The sequence below is a fragment of the Homo sapiens genome, chromosome 7, assembly GCF_000001405.40.
Source record: "Homo sapiens chromosome 7, GRCh38.p14 Primary Assembly".
Taxonomy (NCBI): Eukaryota; Metazoa; Chordata; class Mammalia; order Primates; family Hominidae; genus Homo; species Homo sapiens.
Genome location: NC_000007.14, coordinates 38,256,128 through 38,276,560, shown reverse-complemented (window position 1 = coordinate 38,276,560; position 20,433 = coordinate 38,256,128). Strand labels below are relative to the sequence as shown.

Below are 20,433 nucleotides of genomic sequence, written 5' to 3'. Positions count from 1 at the left end.
TTCTCTTCCTGCTTTTTTTTTTCCATTTCCCTTTTCTGTTGGTGCTTTTCAAGAATTACTGCCTTAGAAGAAAACAGGCAATTTATGAGGAAAAATTACAAACTATCACATGTCACAAAACCTATATTCAAGGACTTCCAAAAAAGCCAGAAGATGAAATTGCTAGTTCAAAGTTGTTGGATTGCTAGTCGTGTCCCGAGGATCAGAAGGCTGAGATTTTTGTAGAAGCTTAGACCGGTGTGATACCACTGGTTGGTTCAAGATATTTGCTGAAGGGACTAAGCTCATAGTAACTTCACCTGGTAAGTAACTTTTCTTTCTGTTTTTATTCCAGTAATGAAAAACTGATAGATGATTTTTAGAAAAAAATGATCAACCTTATCTGAATATGTCACATTCCTGGCCTCAGTATACGAACAGCAATTTTGCAGATTAGCTGAATATGGAAACAAAACGATTTTGTACATGATATCTTCCCTTCCCTGTCTGTAAGCGGATTAAAATTCTACTTTAAGAATACACACACACACACACACACACACACACACACAAAAGATAGACTCTGGCAAGAAATTAAAATGTTTTGAGGCCCATGTCTATACACCATTAGTGTAAGTCCTTGGTCCAAGTTACTTTTTTGTTGGTCTTTTAAGTGAGAGACATAAAAATGGAGTTTTATTAATTACTTCTTCTCTGTATTTTGAGATATAACATAGTGCTCCCTTCTTCTGCTAGCCTGCCAAACCCATGTTATTGATTTTGATCTCATCCTGAGAAATAGTATAGAAAAAAATTACTTCTTATAGTAAATTACTATAGAAGGTCAATACATCCCACTTATTAGTGTTCTAGTTTCTTTGAGGGAGGCTGAAGTCAGTCAAAATTTATGCAATTGGGACTCTTGTTATATCACCTGGAAATGGCCCGGTTTAATAGAATTTGTAAGTTCAACCAGCCATGTCAGCTCCAAGGTCAATGAAAAGAGTCTTCATCATTTTACATCTTCATTTGTTCATTCATCCTCTCAGCAAATATTTATCAAAAACAGTTTTTGTTCTGGATGCTAGAGATAAAAGGGCAAAGAAGACACAGTCTCAACACTCAAAAGCTGCCAGTCTGGCAGATAAGTATTCTAGATTCTGGCTTGGTTGGGCCCTGTCCACGTTCTTTGGCCTGTGGCTGCCGGAGAAGCAGAAGGTCTTGGGTTCATGAGCTCATTTTCTTTCTTAATTTGTGTAGCAGTTATTGCTTATAAGATCTATGTATTGCGTTTGGTGGGAGGATTTGATAAAATGACCCAATATTGTCCTTTTAAGGAGAAAATTAATATTAGCAAAGTTTATTGAGAGCCAGACACCATGCTAAATAGTTTCAATGCTTTATCTCCTTCCTCATCAGACCTATGCAGGAGATCCTCTTAGTCCCATTTCACAGATGAGGAAACTGAGGCCTAGAGAAGCTCAGTTACTTTCTTAAAGTCACATGACTAGTCACTGTGGAAAAGTCTGGGATCTATCTAAGCTTGTCTACTCCAAAGTGCCTGGTCTGGACCCTTATGTGATATTTAGAAATATTAAGTCATATTTTTATACTTTGAATATTTCTTCTTCTGTAGCTTGACCCTATGAATGGACTCTTTAGTTGACTATTTTTCTAGTAACAACTCCCAATTTGTATTACTATTTGTGTATTAATACAATTCTTCTACTTCTAATTATGGCACTGAAATGACCTCTCTCCTCCAAAAAGTCATATGGGATATACATTTATTAAATACTCAAAATATAATTTTTAGGGTATTTCTGTAGAATGAGTCATTTTGACGTCATTCCACTCAGCTGTCTTTCTGTATTGGCATCAAATTTGCTAGATATGTTGAAACTGATGTAGGAGCTATCGCAGCTATGCTATATTGCAGTGCTAAGTCGCATAACTCAGAGCTGCCTCAGATTCTCTGTTGAGTAGCACACGATTTAATTTGATGAAACTGTATAGATATTTTCAAGTCAAAAGTAGCAGTCTTTCAGCAATGAATCATCATTAAGAATTCATATTTTCTAACAACTCATCAGTATTCTATCAGTGAGAACTGGATTCTAAAAAGAACTTACTTTATTTTTATTTTTTATTTTTTGAGATGGAGTCTCACTCTGTCGCCCAGCTGGAATGCAGTGGCATCATCTCTGCTCACTGCAACCTCCGCTTCCCAGTTTCAAGAGATTCTTCTGCTTCGGCCTCCTGAGTAGCTAGGATTACAGGCTCCTGCCACTACGCCCAACTAATGTTTTGGGTTTTTTTTGTATTTTTAGTAGAGATGGGGTTTCACCATGTTGACCAGGCTGGTTTTCAACTCCTGAGCTCAAGTGATCCGCTTGCCTCAGCCTCCCAAAGTGCTAGGATTACAGGGATGAGCCACTGTGCCTGGCCAAAAAGAAGTTATTTTAGAATCAATCTAGATACCCATCCCTCCATACATATGAATCCCAAAATACCTATAAATCATATTGAATATCTATTTATTAAATGTCAAACATAGGAATCCTATTATTGTCTCTCTTTGAAAATTAAGGAAATATTAACTCTAAATTACACTTAAGACAAAGTGTATACAAGAAAACTTTTTAGGGAAGATTTAGAAGATTCAGGCAAAATCATGAGAAAAGGTAAAATCAGACTCTCTAATGTATGGGATACAAGGAGAGAATGTACATAGCCCAAAGTGCCCAGGGCAAGGTGAGGTCAGTTCTTAAATTCCTGATTACATTCAGATCCAGTGTGATTTTGTTTGACCTTTGTCTTGACTTAACGTCAGCAGGGCCAATTTTTATGTATTTATGTAAATATTGAAAAAAATGTTGGCACAATTTTAAGACAAACACAAAGGGAGATTCTTATAAAGGCTTCTCAGGTGGTGGGCAAGAGTTGGGCAAAAAAATCAAGGTATTTGGTCCCGGAACAAAGCTTATCATTACAGGTAAGTTTTCTTTAAATTTTGCAATGTAAAGAAGGGATGGGAGGCTGGCAGGCAGGAGCTGGCTCAGAATTCTAGGATTCCCTCCTTGGTCACTAATCATGGTGAAATCTCCAGAGAGGTCAGGTGACTTGGTTCATGCCTTAGGAGTCAGAACTTTTCCTGCCCTAGCATGGGAGACATTACTAAGGAGCTTAGACCAACTGCAAATCTCTAAAGGATGGAGGCCTTATGTTGTTCCATTGGTATCTCTCTGTTGAAAGTTTTGTGAACAAGTTTAGTTTTGAGATTTTATTTCTTCAGTTCTAAAAATAACCAATGGAAAAAATTAAAAAAAAAAAAAGTAAAATCAGCTACCCTCCTTATTTGGTCACCAAAAGATGAAATATTTGATAATTTGACCAAAGAATGGTTAATATCAAATGTTAAAATATTTCTCGGTGTGACCATATTTAGAAGTAACATAAGCTGCATTTATTGTTATTTAAATTGGTCCAATGAGTTTGTTTATTATTTGTTAGCTTAAGTTTAAAGATGTAATTTTGCCTGGATGAGAGAAAACATCTCATAAAGATACTCTTAGTCTGTTAGATCCACTGAAATGAAAGTTTTCAGAGAATTTTCACAAAGTTGATAAAGCATCGGAAAAAATGAAAGCAGTTTTACATTTTTAATTCCTTAGTGGTTGAGATCTTATGATAAAATGAACTTATAAGTTAAAAAGTGACCTTCCGATTCTCTTTTATCCAATTGACTTAATGAGAATTGTAGCAATCAAATTCATAATTTGTAATTTTCTGAGAAGTGATTTTTCAGGAAAGTGCGGTGCAAGAAAAGGTATGGACTTTGTTTCTCGACTCCTGGAGCTAGCACTTTCTATGTAACTCCCTTTTAGGAAGTGTATTTTGATTTACCAGTTGTTCAAATTATAAAAATGCTGGTTCATTATAGAAAAATTGGAAAACACAAAAATAAACAAAAAATTATAATTTGATATTGACCCTCATCACATTATCATTTTGTTATATTTTTATTTAAACATTTTTCTCTGCTTTTTGTTTGTTTGTTTTACAAAGTTGGAATCATACTAGATACACAATAATAGATCTGGCTTTTTCACTTCACACTGCTTCATAAACATTCTTTTCAAATGTCCTTAATATTTTTCAATACCAGAACAAAGTTGAAACTTCTGTTTTCACGTTGATCTGTACAAAGAAGATAATGGAGATTATTTATCTAAAGTGGATGTTATAAAGATTAAATGAAATTAAATATGGAAATTACCTACCAGAATGCCTGGCACTTGGTAGGTGATAGAAATATTATTTCCTCTTCTAGAATTCAAGTTACTACCCACGAAAGGTCTTTATACACTCAGGAATACAGATAAATGTATCGACTCCCATCTATTCAGCAGCTCACTTCAGAACAAATATCACTATTTGTAAAATGCTTTCTATGTCTAAAAGACTAATTGTACCTGCTTCTAAAAGTAATTAGAATGTTTTACGTATTATCTCAAATATGATCTACCTGAATACAAGGTGATTTTTCATTTTCAAGAGAAAATTTATGTTTAAGAAAATATGTATTTTCCCCTCCCCCAACTCGAATATGTAAATTTATAGGGCTACAGGTAAAACAGTCAAATGTCTACCTATAACATTTAATTTCTTACCTGGTTCATACTTTCAAAGTTAAAAATTATATCAATATCAATATCAGTTGAGAAATATTGCCTTTTTTGCCCTTATATTTCATTAAAACTTTTGTTTTGATGCTTCACATGCATGTAAAGCATCTATCTCAGAACAGCTTTCTAAGGCATCTCAGGTCAAAGCGTCCACTTTGGAATCCTCTTATGATGGTGTCTCTGAATATTTTATTCTAAGACACAATTATTCACTCACAAAATAAAAGGATATATTTTTTTCCAATTTATTCTGTTATTCTACAGTTGTATGAAGTAAAAACTACAGAGACATTACCCCAAGTAATAATGACCAAATCCGTGATAAATTTCTTTGCCTTTTTTTTTCCTTTTACCAGTGCTATTCCCCAAACTAGCATCATTGAGTTCATTTCATGTCGATATCTCCTCCAGTTAGTCCTTCTGGATCAAAGCAGAGTATTAGAAGAACATTTTTTAATATGAGAAGTTACACAAAGACTGTACCATACATAAGGCACCTCCCCATGTTGTGAGAGAAAATTTTGGGGAAAAAAAGCTTCATTTTAAGTTCTGGCACTTTCTATCTAAATTTAGTATGTAGGTGTCCCTATCACAGAGCTAGGATTTGCAAACATAGTCTCCATTCCTTGTGTCTTATTTGAGCTTGACCTTACAAAACCATCAACTCCTGGGGGCAAAGGAGAAACATGCTAAATGCACAAACTCTTTGTTATTTATTTAAGCTATCTCTTTCCAAAATCTATTTGAGAAGACCTAAATTAAAATATACAAGCACAGTCAGACCATTAAATATATACAGATGATCTAAAGCCCTAAGGAAAGGAGAAGGAAAAAGGCCTGTGATTACCTAGTGAGGAGCACAGTTTAAAATTTTATGCTCAAAAGAAGGAGAAAAAGGTAGGGGAATACATACATCTTACTAATTGATAAAAAGAAGCACACCAAATTTTCAAATATCATATTTTTTTCTATTACTAGATTGGAAAAAGACTTCAATGCATGAGTCCTTTAGAAGGAAATGGAAGAGTGGGCAGTGCCTTCAACTTCCATTTTGGAAAATGAAAGGAATGGTCATGAAAAACCCACTGCATATTACCACTGCATCAGTGCTATGGGCATCCTGACATTTAATGAAATGCGCAGATGGTGATGCTCAGCAGACATGGTCAGGCAGATAACATGTAGTGATCTAAAGTGACAACAGAGAGATGGATTTGAGGACCAGGCCTCTTGCCTTTTCTCTACCCATTCTGCCTTGAAGGGTAAAGCCAGGTGTTTCAAGCTGGACTTTGGCATGAACTAGACAGAAGTCAGTTTCAGGCTGAAGTTTCTGGTGAAACTTGGAAGGCAAATAAGTTGTGCTGCTGATTAGAAAAAGGCTCACTTGTTTTGAAAAACACAAGTGAAGAATTCCCATACACTGACTGCATATATTAGACTTTAGCCAATGTTCCCTTTGACTTTCTTAACACGGTAGGTAAGGCAAAGGATAACCTATTAAAGATTGGGCGTGTGAAAGCCATGTTTCTTGTGATGATGGGGACGATGGCTTTGAGAATCCCAGAGCAAAGTGGAATGCAAACAGAGGAACTGAGAAATTATTCCTCCTGCTTAATTGCTATGGATTTAACTGCCACTCCAAAATGCTGAATTTTTTTTAGTAAGGGCAATGCTTGGTCCTATAGGGTTAAAATGTCATGTCAAGGCACACAATCATAGCAAACAGATTGCTAATCATAACAATGACATCATCATCATCATAATCTCTTATATTTCCATAGCATTTATTTTTGAGGCAGGGTCTTCCCCTGTTGCCCAGGCAGGAGTGCAGTGGTGTGATCAATTCTCACTGCAGCCTCGAACTCCTAGGCTCAAGTGACCCTCCTGCCTCAGCTTCTCGAGTAGCTGGGCCTACAGTCGTGCACATCATGCTCAGCTAATGCTTTTTGTATTTTTAGTGAATATGGGGTCTCACTGTGTTGCCCAGGCTGGCCTCAAAATTCTGAGCTCAAGCAATCCTCCCACCTCAGCCTCCCAAAGTGCTGGAATTATAGGCACAAACCACTGCACTGGGACCTATAACATTTTAATCAAATTGCTTTTTTATATCTTGTTTCATTTTGGTCTCACTTCAGTGCTGGTAGCGATGTTGAACTGATTTTGAAACATCACTGTTTTTAGACAAATAAAACACCAAAAGCTTTAAGTTATTTGATTTGTGGAGCAACAGAACTTGTTATGAGCAAAATGAACCAGGACTGGAACCCTGGTCTTTTGAGAATCCCAGACCACCAGAATTTGAAGAACTCAGGGAAACTGAATTAGAGTTTTTGATATGGACTGAATCACTGTGGAATTATTATAAGAAACTCTTTGGCAGTGGAACAACACTTGTTGTCACAGGTAAGTATCGGAAGAATACAACATTTCCAAGGTAATAGAGGGAAAGCAGGAAATTATTAAACTGGAATAATGTAATAATGTTTAGAAAAAAGAGGAATTGGATGGGGATTTGATGTAGAAAACTTAGGAGAGACTTTAAAACAAACGCTCATACTAAAAGAGAACATAGATAACATTGCACAGATATCATAATAAGATTTGGCTTTGTGCATATACGGACTTCCATAAAGGGCTCATATGTAATGTATGAAATGATCTCATTAAAATGTCTGGCCCTGAGACCAAATGTATTATGACAGGTAAGTTTGTGATAGACTCTACAGAGTGGACACATATTCATCTCTGATGGTCAAAGACATGTTTACTCTTGTTGTGAAGGAGCCCGGGTGTTGGAGTCAGGTCCACCTGGAACTCTGGCTCCACCACTCACTGCTTAGTGAAATTGAGTGATTATTCTCTGGCCTCAGTTTTCTAATCCATAAAATGGGATAACAGTATGAATTCAGCAGGGTTGTATAAGAATTGCACAACATAGTGTGAATTAAGTACTTGGCACATTGTCCAACCCAAAATAGGTGCCCAACAAATGTTTTCTGGATTCACATGTAAAGAGACAATGGGATCTACTATGGAGAGTTGCTCTCAGTCCATCTAATTTACAGAGCAGCAATTCTCCAGAGGATTCAGCTGTACTTCTAACTGCTCAAATGGAAGGTTATCAACATCAGCTCACACACGCAAAAATTGAACTTATGGATTCGTTTCTTGTTAGCAGGCTTTTTAATCACGTGGCAAAAACATTGTATTAAGATGTCTGTTTTTTATTTTTGTTGTTCTATGTGCTTTACTTAATCCTTTATCTTAATTGATATCATTTCTAACACCAACATATTGGTCCTAAGATTTATAGCCAATTAGTTTAGGGTTCTGTTCATATGTCTCAGGAAAAAAAGGTTAAAATCTTACCAAAAATGGTCAAGATATCAAATCAATTAAATCCAGTTGGAAACATCATAAATCTGAAATACATATTTAAACATAAAATGGCTATAACTATTTAGCTAATGAAAAAATAAGAAATAGAGAACACTTAAATAAATATCCATATGTAGATTTAATATATCATACCGTCTCTAAAAACTGTAGTTGATATTTGGTAAATTTACAATGCTGCATTTTAATAAACTACAAACAACTTAGGCAATTTAACTCAAATATACTATTTGATTTTGCAAATAAATGTACATAAATGAATCCAACAATAAAATAAATTTTATTTATTATTTTAAATAAAATATGTAAATTCTATTTGTTATTGAAGTAAGTAAAAATGTACCATACTTGGCCATAAAAAACTCTTAATATGTACATTTTAAAAGTAGTATTTTAAAAATCATGTGAGAGGATGATCCACAATATCGGCCCTTACCATGTGTAATCAAGTATGCTATTTAATGATTCGTTAACTACTACGTTGAGAAAGTTTTGGAAGTTCCAGATTCATTTTGTCCTGAAAAGAATGAAACTTAAAGAATCTAGCTAAAGAAAGGGGACAAGAGGCAATGAATGCTGTGGTACCGTACAGAAAATGTCCAAGTTTATCATTTGATTTTTAATTTCTTTAGTACAATGAATTAGAAGTATTTCAATGAAGAGACACTAGTTCTTAGGATGAAAATTAGATTGGAAAATATATTGACTAGAGACTACAATTATATAAATATAATGTACAATTGAAAAATTACTCATATTTTATAACATGCTTTTAAAATTAGAAGCAAACTATATGGTGGAGAAATATACACTGTCTCACAAGTATAACAAGTAAAATACTATTTGCACTAAAAGCAAAGAGTATGAAATTAAGATGAGCACATTATGCCTAATTAAATTTATAGCATGCTCACAAATTAATATTTCTGTATATGTTTACTAATTTTGTATGAAAATCAGAAGCTTTGCTACACAGACAGAAATTATCAAGACTGTTTTCTTTTCTTCTGAAATGAGAAATTTAATTCTTATTTTCTTAGAAATTGTTCAATTATTAAATTCACTTCAAACCAGCCAAAGCATTGGAGTTTCAATTGGAAATCAAAATAGAAAGAATTGTAACATTTATAATTTCAGTTATTAGATTAAAAATACGTGTATAACCCATTAACATTCCAGATTCAAGTGATATGCCTTTGTAAACATATGATGCTTTGTTATGTATCTTGACCCTATCCCTATAAGAAGCTCTGAAATCATGACTTTTAATAGAGCAATTATATGTACATTTTATTCAGCAGGCTAAGATGAAGAGAATAATGGAGCTTTAAAACAGTTAAGCAGCATATAGGACAGATACAAATTCTGGGAGAGACATAAAGAGTCAAAATATAGATACACTGATTTACACAGACCTTCTCATTAATGGGGTAAATTTATATAAAACCCAGTATAAAAAATACACCCCTGGTGCATTCTTAGTCATTCTTAAACTTCAAATGAAATTCCAAAATAAAATGTGCTTTTGGTGAATATTTTCTGAAGCAAAATGAAATTTTGATAAGTGCGTTACTGCAGAAGATTAACACAAGAGTATTTCTGAAAATAATCAAGAAAAAATTTAAATAAGAGTTTTGGAAAGTTGCCATTTTGTTTCTAAATTCAGGAGATGGTGAATAATCTGGAGGTACAGCTGTAAATACTGCTGCATCCCAAAACTTGGAGGGTGCAGATGTGAAATTGAGATGTTATATAAAGTTAGATATTAACTAGGGGGACTGCTCATGGTATACACATTGAAGCTACATGGTCAACTTGATAGACAGTATGTACATGCGGAAGTAGATTCTCTTTAAAACAAGTGACTGTGTATGTTAAAAATAAAAGTGAACAAAATGGCTAGGCATGGTGGCTCACACCTATAATCCCAGGATTTGGGAGGCTGAGGCAGGCAGATCACTTGAGCGCAGGAGTTTTAAACCAGCCTGGTCAATATGGTGAAACATGTTCCTAGAAAAAAAATATTAGCCAGGCATGGTGATGCATACCTGTAGTCCCAGCTACTTGGGAGGCTGAGGTGGGAGGATCACTTGAGCCTGGGAAGTCGAGACTGCAGTGAGCTATGATCTTGCCGCTGCATTCCAACCTGGACGACAGAGCAAGCCCCAGTCTCAACAACAACAAAAATTTTGACATTGATTCATATGGGAAATAAGATAAATAATAAGATAAATATGGTGCATCGCAGAATCAGTTAAATGAAGAGTGGGAGTACACGAAATTGCAGAACATGAGAATGTGTCATATTTGGCCAAAGAACATAAGTTACAAAGGATGGAAAAGGGAAGTGGGAAAAGGACCAAAGAGTCTCATCTGTAGAGAGATCATTAAGGTTTTCTGACCTTCCACTTTCCCCTGCCATCCACCTTGAAAACCTGCTTCACTATGATGAAACAAAAGAGATTAAAAAATAAAATAAATATGCTCATGAACTTTGGAAGCCCTGGTAGGAGGCAGTTAAAAATCACACTCATCACAGCATGTGCAGAATAAACAAAGGCCAGGTTTTCGTCCAGCATCTGACATTTGAGAGCTGTGACTTTTGGCAAGTTATTTAATGTCTTGATTCTCTTTTCAACATCTGTAAAATAAGCACAATAATAAGTACTGTGCAGCCTATCCTGGATGAAAGGCCGCAGTGGACACCAGCTCAATGGCATCTTCTCTTTTTATGGTTATGTACTAGGCCACTCCAAACTGTGCAATGTGTGTGTTTCTCTAATGATTCTTTTAAACTCATATTTCATTTCTCCCCATAGATAAACAACTTGATGCAGATGTTTCCCCCAAGCCCACTATTTTTCTTCCTTCAATTGCTGAAACAAAGCTCCAGAAGGCTGGAACATACCTTTGTCTTCTTGAGAAATTTTTCCCTGATGTTATTAAGATACATTGGCAAGAAAAGAAGAGCAACACGATTCTGGGATCCCAGGAGGGGAACACCATGAAGACTAACGACACATACATGAAATTTAGCTGGTTAACGGTGCCAGAAAAGTCACTGGACAAAGAACACAGATGTATCGTCAGACATGAGAATAATAAAAACGGAGTTGATCAAGAAATTATCTTTCCTCCAATAAAGACAGGTATGTGTTTACGCATATCATCTGTCAGAACACTTCTTTGAAAGTGAATGCTGCATTTTTTCCTTTCAGTATTAATGAAAAACAAACATAAATCTTTCTTAAATATTGTTACATTTAATGGTAGCATAAATGCCCTGCTACTTTTCTATAGAATTAAAATGGTATAGGTTTTGGAGAAAACAAAATTGAAAAAGTTACTGAAGGTTTGTCAGCCTCAGCTCCATTATCCAAAATAAGAAAGTCACGTGCTGGTTTTTAGGGTTGTTAGATGGATTAAAGAAACAACATACACAGAAGCATCTAGCAACGTGACACGTGGTAAACGCTCAAAAAGTGTTCTCCCTTCTTTTGATGACTTTACTTGATCAGGAAATAACATATATATGTCTTTCAGGAATGTTCTGCCCAAGCAGGAGAGTCACTCACCTCAATCTTGCTACCCACAAAGTTTAACCTAAAAACAACGGGTTCATTGTTGACAAAATGATGTTTATCTGTTGTTGACAGAATGATGTTTATCTAAAAACAGTTCCAATTTTCTATTTCCTTTGCTGAGACACAAAGGGGAGGCAAATGTGCAAAGCTTGAGGGTAGTCTTACCACTGTGCTTAAGTGTTCTGATTTTTCTAGTGATCAGGGCAAAATAAAAAGTATAGTAAGTTCCAAGGCAGTGAATATTATACAGGAGAGAAGTTACAGTTTTATAATGTGTTTTCCTTTACACTAAATTCTAAAAGTAAAAAGTCTTTTTTTTTTTTTGACAGAGTTTCACTCTTGTTGCCCAAGCAGGTGTGCTATGGTATGATCTCAGCTCACTGCAACCTCCACCTCCCGGGTTCAAGTGATTCTCTTACTTCAGCCTCCCGACAGGCTGGGATTGCAGGCGCCTGCCACCACACCTGGCTAATTTTTGTGTTTTTAGTAGAGATGGGGTTTCACCATGTTGGCCAGGCTGGTCTCAAATTCCTGACCTCAAGTGATCCATCCACCTCGGCCTCCAAGTGCTGGGATTATGGGCGTCAGCCACTGTGCCCAGCCTAAAAGTAAAATGTCTTTCATGAGCTTCCCAAGGCAGCTACGTTAAGGAGGACACTTCTCTTAATGTCATTCTACAGTAGATTTCTAATGCTCTTTCTTGGAAGTTTGTTTTTCTGAGAAAAGCTAAAAATATAACATGGAAGTGATCATATTATATAATCAATGAAGTGCTTTTCAAGGAGATAAAACTAATCTGGTCCACACTTGCAACCAACCTTGATTGAGAGAGAGAGAGAACTCAGGATACACTTGAAGATTTTATTATGGGGAACAGTTACTTTATTCTTTTTACCTCAATCAATGCATGGAAATAAGTGATAGTCATTTTCATTTATCTTTTAATAAATGAAGTCACCATGAGGAAAATAAAAAGACATTGAAAACCCATTAAAGTCAGCCCTTAAAGATATTTGGACATGCAGACTTGATAACTAACGTTTGCATTCTTGAGACTTACCCAAAACCCATACCTCAAGTCCAAGTTTTTAGAATTCATGAAATAAAGATCTCAGTGAGTGCATAAAATTGCGCACCAGAATCATATCCGTATAGACAAGAACACATCTACTAGAAAAATAATAAACCAACACACCAATGCAACTGTGTTTTCTTCTGTTTTAAAGTATGTTGTCTTTGTATGCATGTTTGCTTCTTCCTTTTTTTTTTTAACATCACAGATAAATTCAACTCTCACCTCAGGTTTTATTGAGAGAACTGTCAATGTGACTTGGCCTCTGTCTTTCTAGTCCCAGAAAGAATTGCACTGAAATCTGAGCTCCTGTAATAAAAACAACCATTTGCTGAGAGTAATTAACATACTGAAAGAGATTTTCTTAGAGTACACAATGGTGACATTATATTGCCTCTTTATAAATAACTTTCTATCTATTTCTGTGGATTATTCCTACAAAGTACTTTTCATATGTCCAATTTCTTTTCTTCCCCTACAACTACTGTCTGAATACTGGCTCTGCTATTTGCTGATATGATTCTCGGCAAGTTGCCTGCACTTTTTAAACTTTATTTCCTCATTCAGAACATGGGGCCATACATAATACAACTCACTTCAGTGTTATTGGGGAATTAAACAAAAAATGCATGGGAAGCATTTAACATAGTGCCTGACACAATAATGAGTACTCAGTAGATGTTAGCTTTTATTAATATTGTTGTTGTTATGTCCAGAAACACTATACCTCCAGAAAATCATGGGTACTTGCTGGGGACATTGGGGATATGCATGATTTGGAAAAGAATGACTGCTTTTTTTGCTTAGATGAGAAATTTTTCTAAGCCAGACTCCTTCAAATATGTAAGATTCTGTTGTGGATTCAAGGACTGAAAGAATTCTTGGCCGAGTGTGGTGGCTTATCCCTGTAATCCCAGCATTTTGTGAGGACAAGGCAGGAAGATTGCTTGAGTCCAGGAGTTTGAAACCAGCCTGCGCAACATGGCGAAACCCTGTCTCTACAAAAAATACAAACATTAGCTCGGAGTGAGTGCTGACATGTGCCTGTACTCCCAGCTACTCAGAAGGCTGAGATGGGAGGATCTCATGAGCCTGGGGAGTTTGAGGCTTCAGTGAGCCGTGATGACACCGTACTATACTCCACTCCAGCCTGGGTGACAGTGAGACCCTGCCTCAAAAAACAAACAAACAAACAAACAAAACAAAATTAATCTTTTTGCTGATGTCATGTCAGCAGTGTGTGTTGAAGGCTGTAAAGCAGCCATTTGTTCAGTTTATTTTTCCATTGAACAAGTATTTATCAAAAACATACTTTGTGGCAGTCACTATGCTAGGAGCTATGAATACAGAAGGAAAAGTAAATGCTCTTGGATACTACACTCCAGTTGTGATAAAAAAGAAAAAATGTATTCTTCACCAACTTCAACATCTTGATGTGCAAAAACATAATACATGAATTAGATCTACCTAATTACACAGAATTAGACCAATTGTTTCTGGAATTGTGGGCTCATATTTTTAATAACTGTCCTCCTGCCTCTCTGTCGACAGGTTTTATAAATATTCATTTAATTACACACACACACACGAACAATTGACTAGTACTTGCTCTCATTCTTCTAGATGTCATCACAATGGATCCCAAAGACAATTGTTCAAAAGATGCAAATGGTAAGCTTTTGTGTTTTTCCCTTCCTCCTGATCATTTTGTTTTGAACTTCTCTGGCTTGAAAAATCAGGGAATGGATTTTGCTAGGTTGGATGCTGCAGAATGGACCTAGTGATATTTTAAATTAGTCCCTCATTTTCTAGGAGTTGTATTAACAAACCTAACTACTGCTTTGGGGTATGAGATGACTGTAAATTAGAGAGGGTACAGTGGTATAGTGATATGCTTTTAATTATTTCAAAAAAAAGATTTTATTCATTCATGTGTCTTTTTTCTTTTTCTTTTCTTTTTTTTTTTTTTTTGGACAGAGTCTTGCTCTGTCACCCAGGCTGGAGTGCGGTGGCAGTATCTCAGCTCACCACAACCTCCGCCTCCCGGCTTCAAGTGATTCTCCTGCCTCAGCTTCTCGAGTAGCTGGGACTACAGGCGCGTGCCACCATGCCCGGCTAATTTTTGTATTTTTAGTAGAGTTGGGGTTTCACCATGTTGGCCAGGATGGCCTCGAATTTGTGACCTCGTGATCTGCCCCCTCGCCCTCCCGAACTGTTGGGATTACAGGCGTGAGTCACTGTGCCCGGCCTCCTGTCCTGTCTTTTGTTTAATGACTGGGAAAAACATGATACCATGTTGCTTCTCGAGTTGTTTTGTTTTAGTCTTTGGTCTTTGCTAGTAGCTAATAACACGAACTAGTGTTTATCAAGTGCTTTTTACACAGAAGGGCTTGGGCTGTGTTCTGCATTTTCTTGTTTAACCCTCTTAAAACTCCTATAAAATGGTACATATTTTTCTCCCAATTTACAGTCCCTTTAAAGCAAATAATTATAAAAATCCCTATACATGTCACACAGCTAGATCTGGGATTTCAAATCAGGCCATCAAACAAAGAGTTTATGTACTTAGTAAGTTTTCTGTTCTTTTTCTACAATAGAGTCAGATAGCAAGAAATTACCAAGCCAGGAACCTGAAACAAAACGGACATCATGTGGGGCTGGGTGGGTGCATGGGCTTTGCAGACTGGACTTTCACTCCAGCTCTTTTAATGATTAGGTGTAAGTGACCTACATTTTGTGAGCAACAGTTTTCTCATCAGCCAACAAAGAATAATTACACCAGATTCACAGTTATTGAAGAGATAAAGGCATGAATGTGAGATGTCTGGCATAGGGCATCTCATTTAGCAGACACAGAATGAGTACTTGTTTCTGGCTTTTTCTCTCTACATATGCACAAAGAATGCGACTAGAAGCATGGGCTCTAGCCCTGCTCAACTTTCCTCTATTTCCAATACCAAGGGGCTCTGACTTAGGCTGCCACACCAGGCAAGGAGGGCAGTACCACCTCACTTGACCAAGGGCAGGGAGTCACGGACACATCACTTCTTGAGATCCTTTTCCACACCAAGGACTGATGTTTCTGGAATTCTCACTTTATGAAGACAAAACATATAAATGGAAATTTTCTCAGGTAGAGACTCACTCTTGTAGCTCATTGAGTAGGCACTAGTGGTCCACCCCCACTGTCTTTACTTATTCCTTGACATCACATATCTCTTGCAAAACCTCAAATAATATTAAATGCAATCACCCAATAATAGCATAGCCATAATTAGAGGCATTTAGGAAAGACAGGTGAGTGTGCCACAACTACCTAACACATCAGCAAATCTGGATTAACCACTTTCTTTGATTTTCCACAATGCAACCTTACTTTTTAATAGTTGGGAATGTTCTAAGTGAATTTAGCAGAGGTTGTTAATCAACTTGAAAGCTGAATTCTGACTTGTCTGACTCTTGGTGGTGCTGGTAGCAGTAGATGTTTACTTTTAGGTTTTGGTGGTGGTGGAATATCACTTCAACGTAAATCATCAGAAATAAGTATTTGTGAACCCCTCTCGCATTAATGTATCTTATTCTGTAAAAAGAACATGTGCAATTTCTCTTAGATACACTACTGCTGCAGCTCACAAACACCTCTGCATATTACATGTACCTCCTCCTGCTCCTCAAGAGTGTGGTCTATTTTGCCATCATCACCTGCTGTCTGCTTAGAAGAACGGCTTTCTGCTGCAATGGAGAGAAATCATAACAGACGGTGGCACAAGGAGGCCATCTTTTCCTCATCGGTTATTGTCCCTAGAAGCGTCTTCTGAGGATCTAGTTGGGCTTTCTTTCTGGGTTTGGGCCATTTCAGTTCTCATGTGTGTACTATTCTATCATTATTGTATAACGGTTTTCAAACCAGTGGGCACACAGAGAACCTCACTCTGTAATAACAATGAGGAATAGCCACGGCGATCTCCAGCACCAATCTCTCCATGTTTTCCACAGCTCCTCCAGCCAACCCAAATAGCGCCTGCTATAGTGTAGACATCCTGCGGCTTCTAGCCTTGTCCCTCTCTTAGTGTTCTTTAATCAGATAACTGCCTGGAAGCCTTTCATTTTACACGCCCTGAAGCAGTCTTCTTTGCTAGTTGAATTATGTGGTGTGTTTTTCCGTAATAAGCAAAATAAATTTAAAAAAATGAAAAGTTGACTTTTGTCCATGGTATTTTAATTGGATGACATCAAATTGAACATCCAAGGTAAGAAACAGCATGGCAATTGGGCTGTGGAATTCTGTATTGGTTGTAAGAATGGTCCAACACCCCATTTCTAATTCTTTCCCTGAGATCGTGGTTATCACACCTTCTAAGAAGAACTACAACCAAATGAAGGAGCTCATGTGACTTCTGTTTGAAAGGTCACCAGAGTCAGATTCATTCGGTTTAGGACATTCCAGTGGCTATAGGACACTATCTACTGTGACGCGTACCGTGTGAGCTCAGCTCTAGAGTGTTTCACAGACACTGTGTTTCCTGATCCTCACGATACCCCCATGAGAGCTGCCCTAAAAGCAGAGAGGCAGCGTGATGGAGAGGTTCAGCACATGCTCTCTGATCCCAGGAATCCTGGGTATGGTGTTTCGTATCTGTGTGACCTCAGGTGAGTTCCAGGAACTCTATGTGCCATAATCTCCTCATGTAAAATGAAGTTATAATGCCCCGTTTCCTGGAGTTATGTGGATTAGATGAGTTAATGACACCTGGCACATGCAAGTCCTCCACAGTGTCGGCACGCACTGTTGGTAGCTCTACTCTAGAGACAGTAATAAACCAAAAAGTATCTGACACAGGCCTCAATCAACTTAGAAGTTTATTTTGCCTATGTTAAGGGCATGCCCAACTTCCTGAGATAATAATTTATTTCATAAGAATATTTTAAAAACTCGAGTAAACTTGTTAATGTTTATTGCTGCAGCCACTCTGTCCATCTCCACCATCACTGCAACAACGCAGGTCCTTGTTGCCTCTTATTGGCTTATGGTGACCACCTATAAAACCATCTGCTTCACCCAAATTGCTGTCCTGGGGAGTGCCCCTTCCTTTCTGCTTGCACATTTATCTTCCTCAAGTGCAAATGTGATCATGTGACTTTCCTCCCTAAATCTTTTAGCAAGTCCTCATTGTCTATTCTTCTTTCAAAAACATTTATTTGAAAATACTATTAAAATAGAAAATTTTCCACATTCTTACTTCTTAAAAATTAATGTGTTTTAAGTTTCTCCTACTCCATTTCCATCCCATGCCTCTTTACTCAATGGATGCAATTATTCTTCTACATGTTCCTTCTGGCCATGTGTAGCTTTGTCATTTTAATTTTAATCTATTTGGACCCTGTGTTATCTGGGATGAGGTAGAGTGATATTTTTATTTTCTCAGGTAATTATTTGCCTAATGCCTGTTTCCAAATAATCCACCATTTCCTTACAATTTAAAAATGCTCCAGCATGTTTTTAATAGCTACACATATTTGACACATTTTCTGGAGAATTTCTGTTTTATTTGTCTATTTCATTATTCTTGTATCATTATCATATTATCTCAGTAGCTTTGTGGCAAGTATTAAGATCTACTATGCCAAATGTCTATTCACTGTACCATTTTTCAGAAAATTCTTTTTCAATCATCTCATATTTATTCACTCCTGTAGAATTTAAAATCAACTTATCTAGCCTAACATTAAACCTCACACCCTAGAACAACAACATGTCGTAGTAATTCTGACTAAAATTGCTGGAAATTTATAGATGAATTTAGGGTGTATTGGCCTCTTTATGATAGAAGCTTTTTATTCATCAATGTATGTTTCTCCATTTATTTAGGTTTTATTTTATGCCCTTAGGAAAACTAAATACTGTGTTCTTCATATCATTCTTGTATTTTTTTGGTAAATTTAATAAAAGATTTTATAATTCATTACTTCTTCACATTTTATTAGTTAAATCCTTCATGGCTCTTGAAATATTGACAGCTGCTAAGACTTCTGATGCTTCCCCTCATGGTCCTGAAATAAGGAAGGCCAGAGGACAAAAAGAGATTGAGTGGGCGTCATTCCATCTATCACAGGTGTAAAGGGTCATTGACAGCGCCACATAATAATTTTGAATTTTCTATTAAGAAGAAACCCTTTCCAAACATAATTTTCACCCAGCCCCATTGTCTTCTCCATTGTTGTGGGGGCTGTGGCCTGCCGTGTATGGATAGGTGCCCTCTGTGACCTCACTCATACCTTCCTGAATGAAGACTCAGGAGACTTAGGCTGGAGCAGGGTGGATCTGGAGTGGACATGGAGGTTGTCAAGGCTTGTCCTCCTCAGTCCTTGCAACTGAACACCTCATCTGTACACAGGAGATCACACAGCCGACACCAGCTTAAGATGGCAGATTTTTCAACATATCAGATAACTAAATTTTTTTTTTTGGTTATGCCATAGTTTAAATAAAGAATGTATTACTTCATGGGACATAGAATTCTACAAATTTCTTCTGCTATTCCAGGAAAAATGATAAGTCATTGTGGAAAACATTTCCTCATTTGGCATTGCCTTGGTAAAGCATCGTGTTGCCAAATGATACAAGTGGCTTTTTGAAAGTGGAGACCTTTGTTCAAATTTCTCAAGTATATCTGTGTTGACACATTTGCATTTTCAGTTACTAAAGAGCTTCCTCCTTTCAGAAGTATCTTCCCAAATTACTAACAGGCCCTGGTGTTTGTGGGAACAGAAGGGCTTTTCCTTTGATGTAATCTCAAAGCAGTTTCAACACAATTGAACCCCTGGAAATTAAAAAAGAAAAAAAACGACAATTCTCTGAATACTTTTCCTGGTAATTTAGAAAAGTAGTGCATTGACCCACTGAGCCTGCTCTTTTTTCTCTCTATCGCCCAGGCTGGAGTGCAATGGCACGATCTCGGCTCACTGCAACCTCTGCCTCCCTGGTTCAAGCAATTCTCCTGCCTCAGCCTCCCGAGTAGCTGTGACTACAGGCACACGCCACCACGCCCGGATAATATTTTTTTGTATGTTAGTAGAGACGGGGTTTCACTGTGTTGCCAAAGCTGGTCTTGAACTCCTGAGTTCAGGCAATCCACCTGACTCAGCCTCTGAAAGTGCTAGGATTACAGGCGTGACCCACTGCGCCCGGCCTTTCTTTTTTTGTTGTTGTTGGTTTTTTATCTTAACATTTCTTTTTTCTGTTGATGCTTTTCAAGAATTACTGCCTTAGAAGAAAGCAGGCAATTTATGAGGAAAAATTACAAACTATCACATGTCACAAAACCTATATTCAAGGACTTCCAAAAAAGCCAGAAGATGAAATTGCTAGTTCAAAGTTGTTGGATTGCTAGTCATGTCATGAGGATCAGAAGGTTGAGATTTTTGTAGAAGCTTAGACCAGTGTGATAGTAGTGATTGGATCAAGACGTTTGCAAAAGGGACTAGGCTCATAGTAACTTCGCCTGGTAAGTAATTTTTTTTCTGTTTTTATTCCAGTAATGAAAAACTGATAGATGTTTTTTAGAAAAAAATGATCAACCTTACCTGAATATGTCACATTCCTGGCCTCAGTATACGAACAGCAATTTTTCAGGGTAGCTGAATGCCTGGCACTTGGTAGGTGATAGAAATATTATTTCCTCTTCCAGAATTCAAGTTACTACCCAAGAGAGGT

General features: G+C 37.0%; 1 protein-coding gene, 5 gene segments (V, D, J or C) and 1 further gene; all 7 read left to right on the top strand.

Annotated features, from left to right (window-relative positions):
* Positions 1–20,433, top strand: part of TRG (T cell receptor gamma locus) — a 128,032-nt gene that overhangs the window by 91,495 nt on the left and 16,104 nt on the right.
* Positions 243–302, top strand: TRGJP1 (T cell receptor gamma joining P1). The segment is given in 1 exon segment: positions 243–302. A coding segment is annotated over 1 exon segment (60 nt), but the record flags the coding sequence as incomplete, so codon positions are not given.
* On the top strand, positions 2,913–2,974 carry TRGJP (T cell receptor gamma joining P). The segment is given in 1 exon segment: positions 2,913–2,974. A coding segment is annotated over 1 exon segment (62 nt), but the record flags the coding sequence as incomplete, so codon positions are not given.
* Positions 2,925–16,918, top strand: TARP (TCR gamma alternate reading frame protein). 2 transcript variants are annotated; one of them, NM_001003806.2, is made up of 4 exons: positions 2,925–2,974; positions 10,883–11,212; positions 14,343–14,390; positions 16,331–16,918. In NM_001003806.2, exons 2-4 carry the CDS (start codon positions 11,068–11,070, stop codon positions 16,471–16,473), a joined length of 336 nt encoding a protein of 111 aa, NP_001003806.1. In that variant the 5' UTR covers positions 2,925–2,974; positions 10,883–11,067; the 3' UTR covers positions 16,474–16,918. Both variants share the same exon structure in this region, with proteins under 2 accessions (NP_001003806.1, NP_001003799.1).
* Positions 7,021–7,070, top strand: TRGJ1 (T cell receptor gamma joining 1). The segment is given in 1 exon segment: positions 7,021–7,070. A coding segment is annotated over 1 exon segment (50 nt), but the record flags the coding sequence as incomplete, so codon positions are not given.
* TRGC1 (T cell receptor gamma constant 1) lies at positions 10,883–16,473 on the top strand. The segment is given in 3 exon segments: positions 10,883–11,212; positions 14,343–14,390; positions 16,331–16,473. Coding segments are annotated over 3 exon segments (521 nt in total), but the record flags the coding sequence as incomplete, so codon positions are not given.
* TRGJP2 (T cell receptor gamma joining P2) lies at positions 20,165–20,224 on the top strand. The segment is given in 1 exon segment: positions 20,165–20,224. A coding segment is annotated over 1 exon segment (60 nt), but the record flags the coding sequence as incomplete, so codon positions are not given.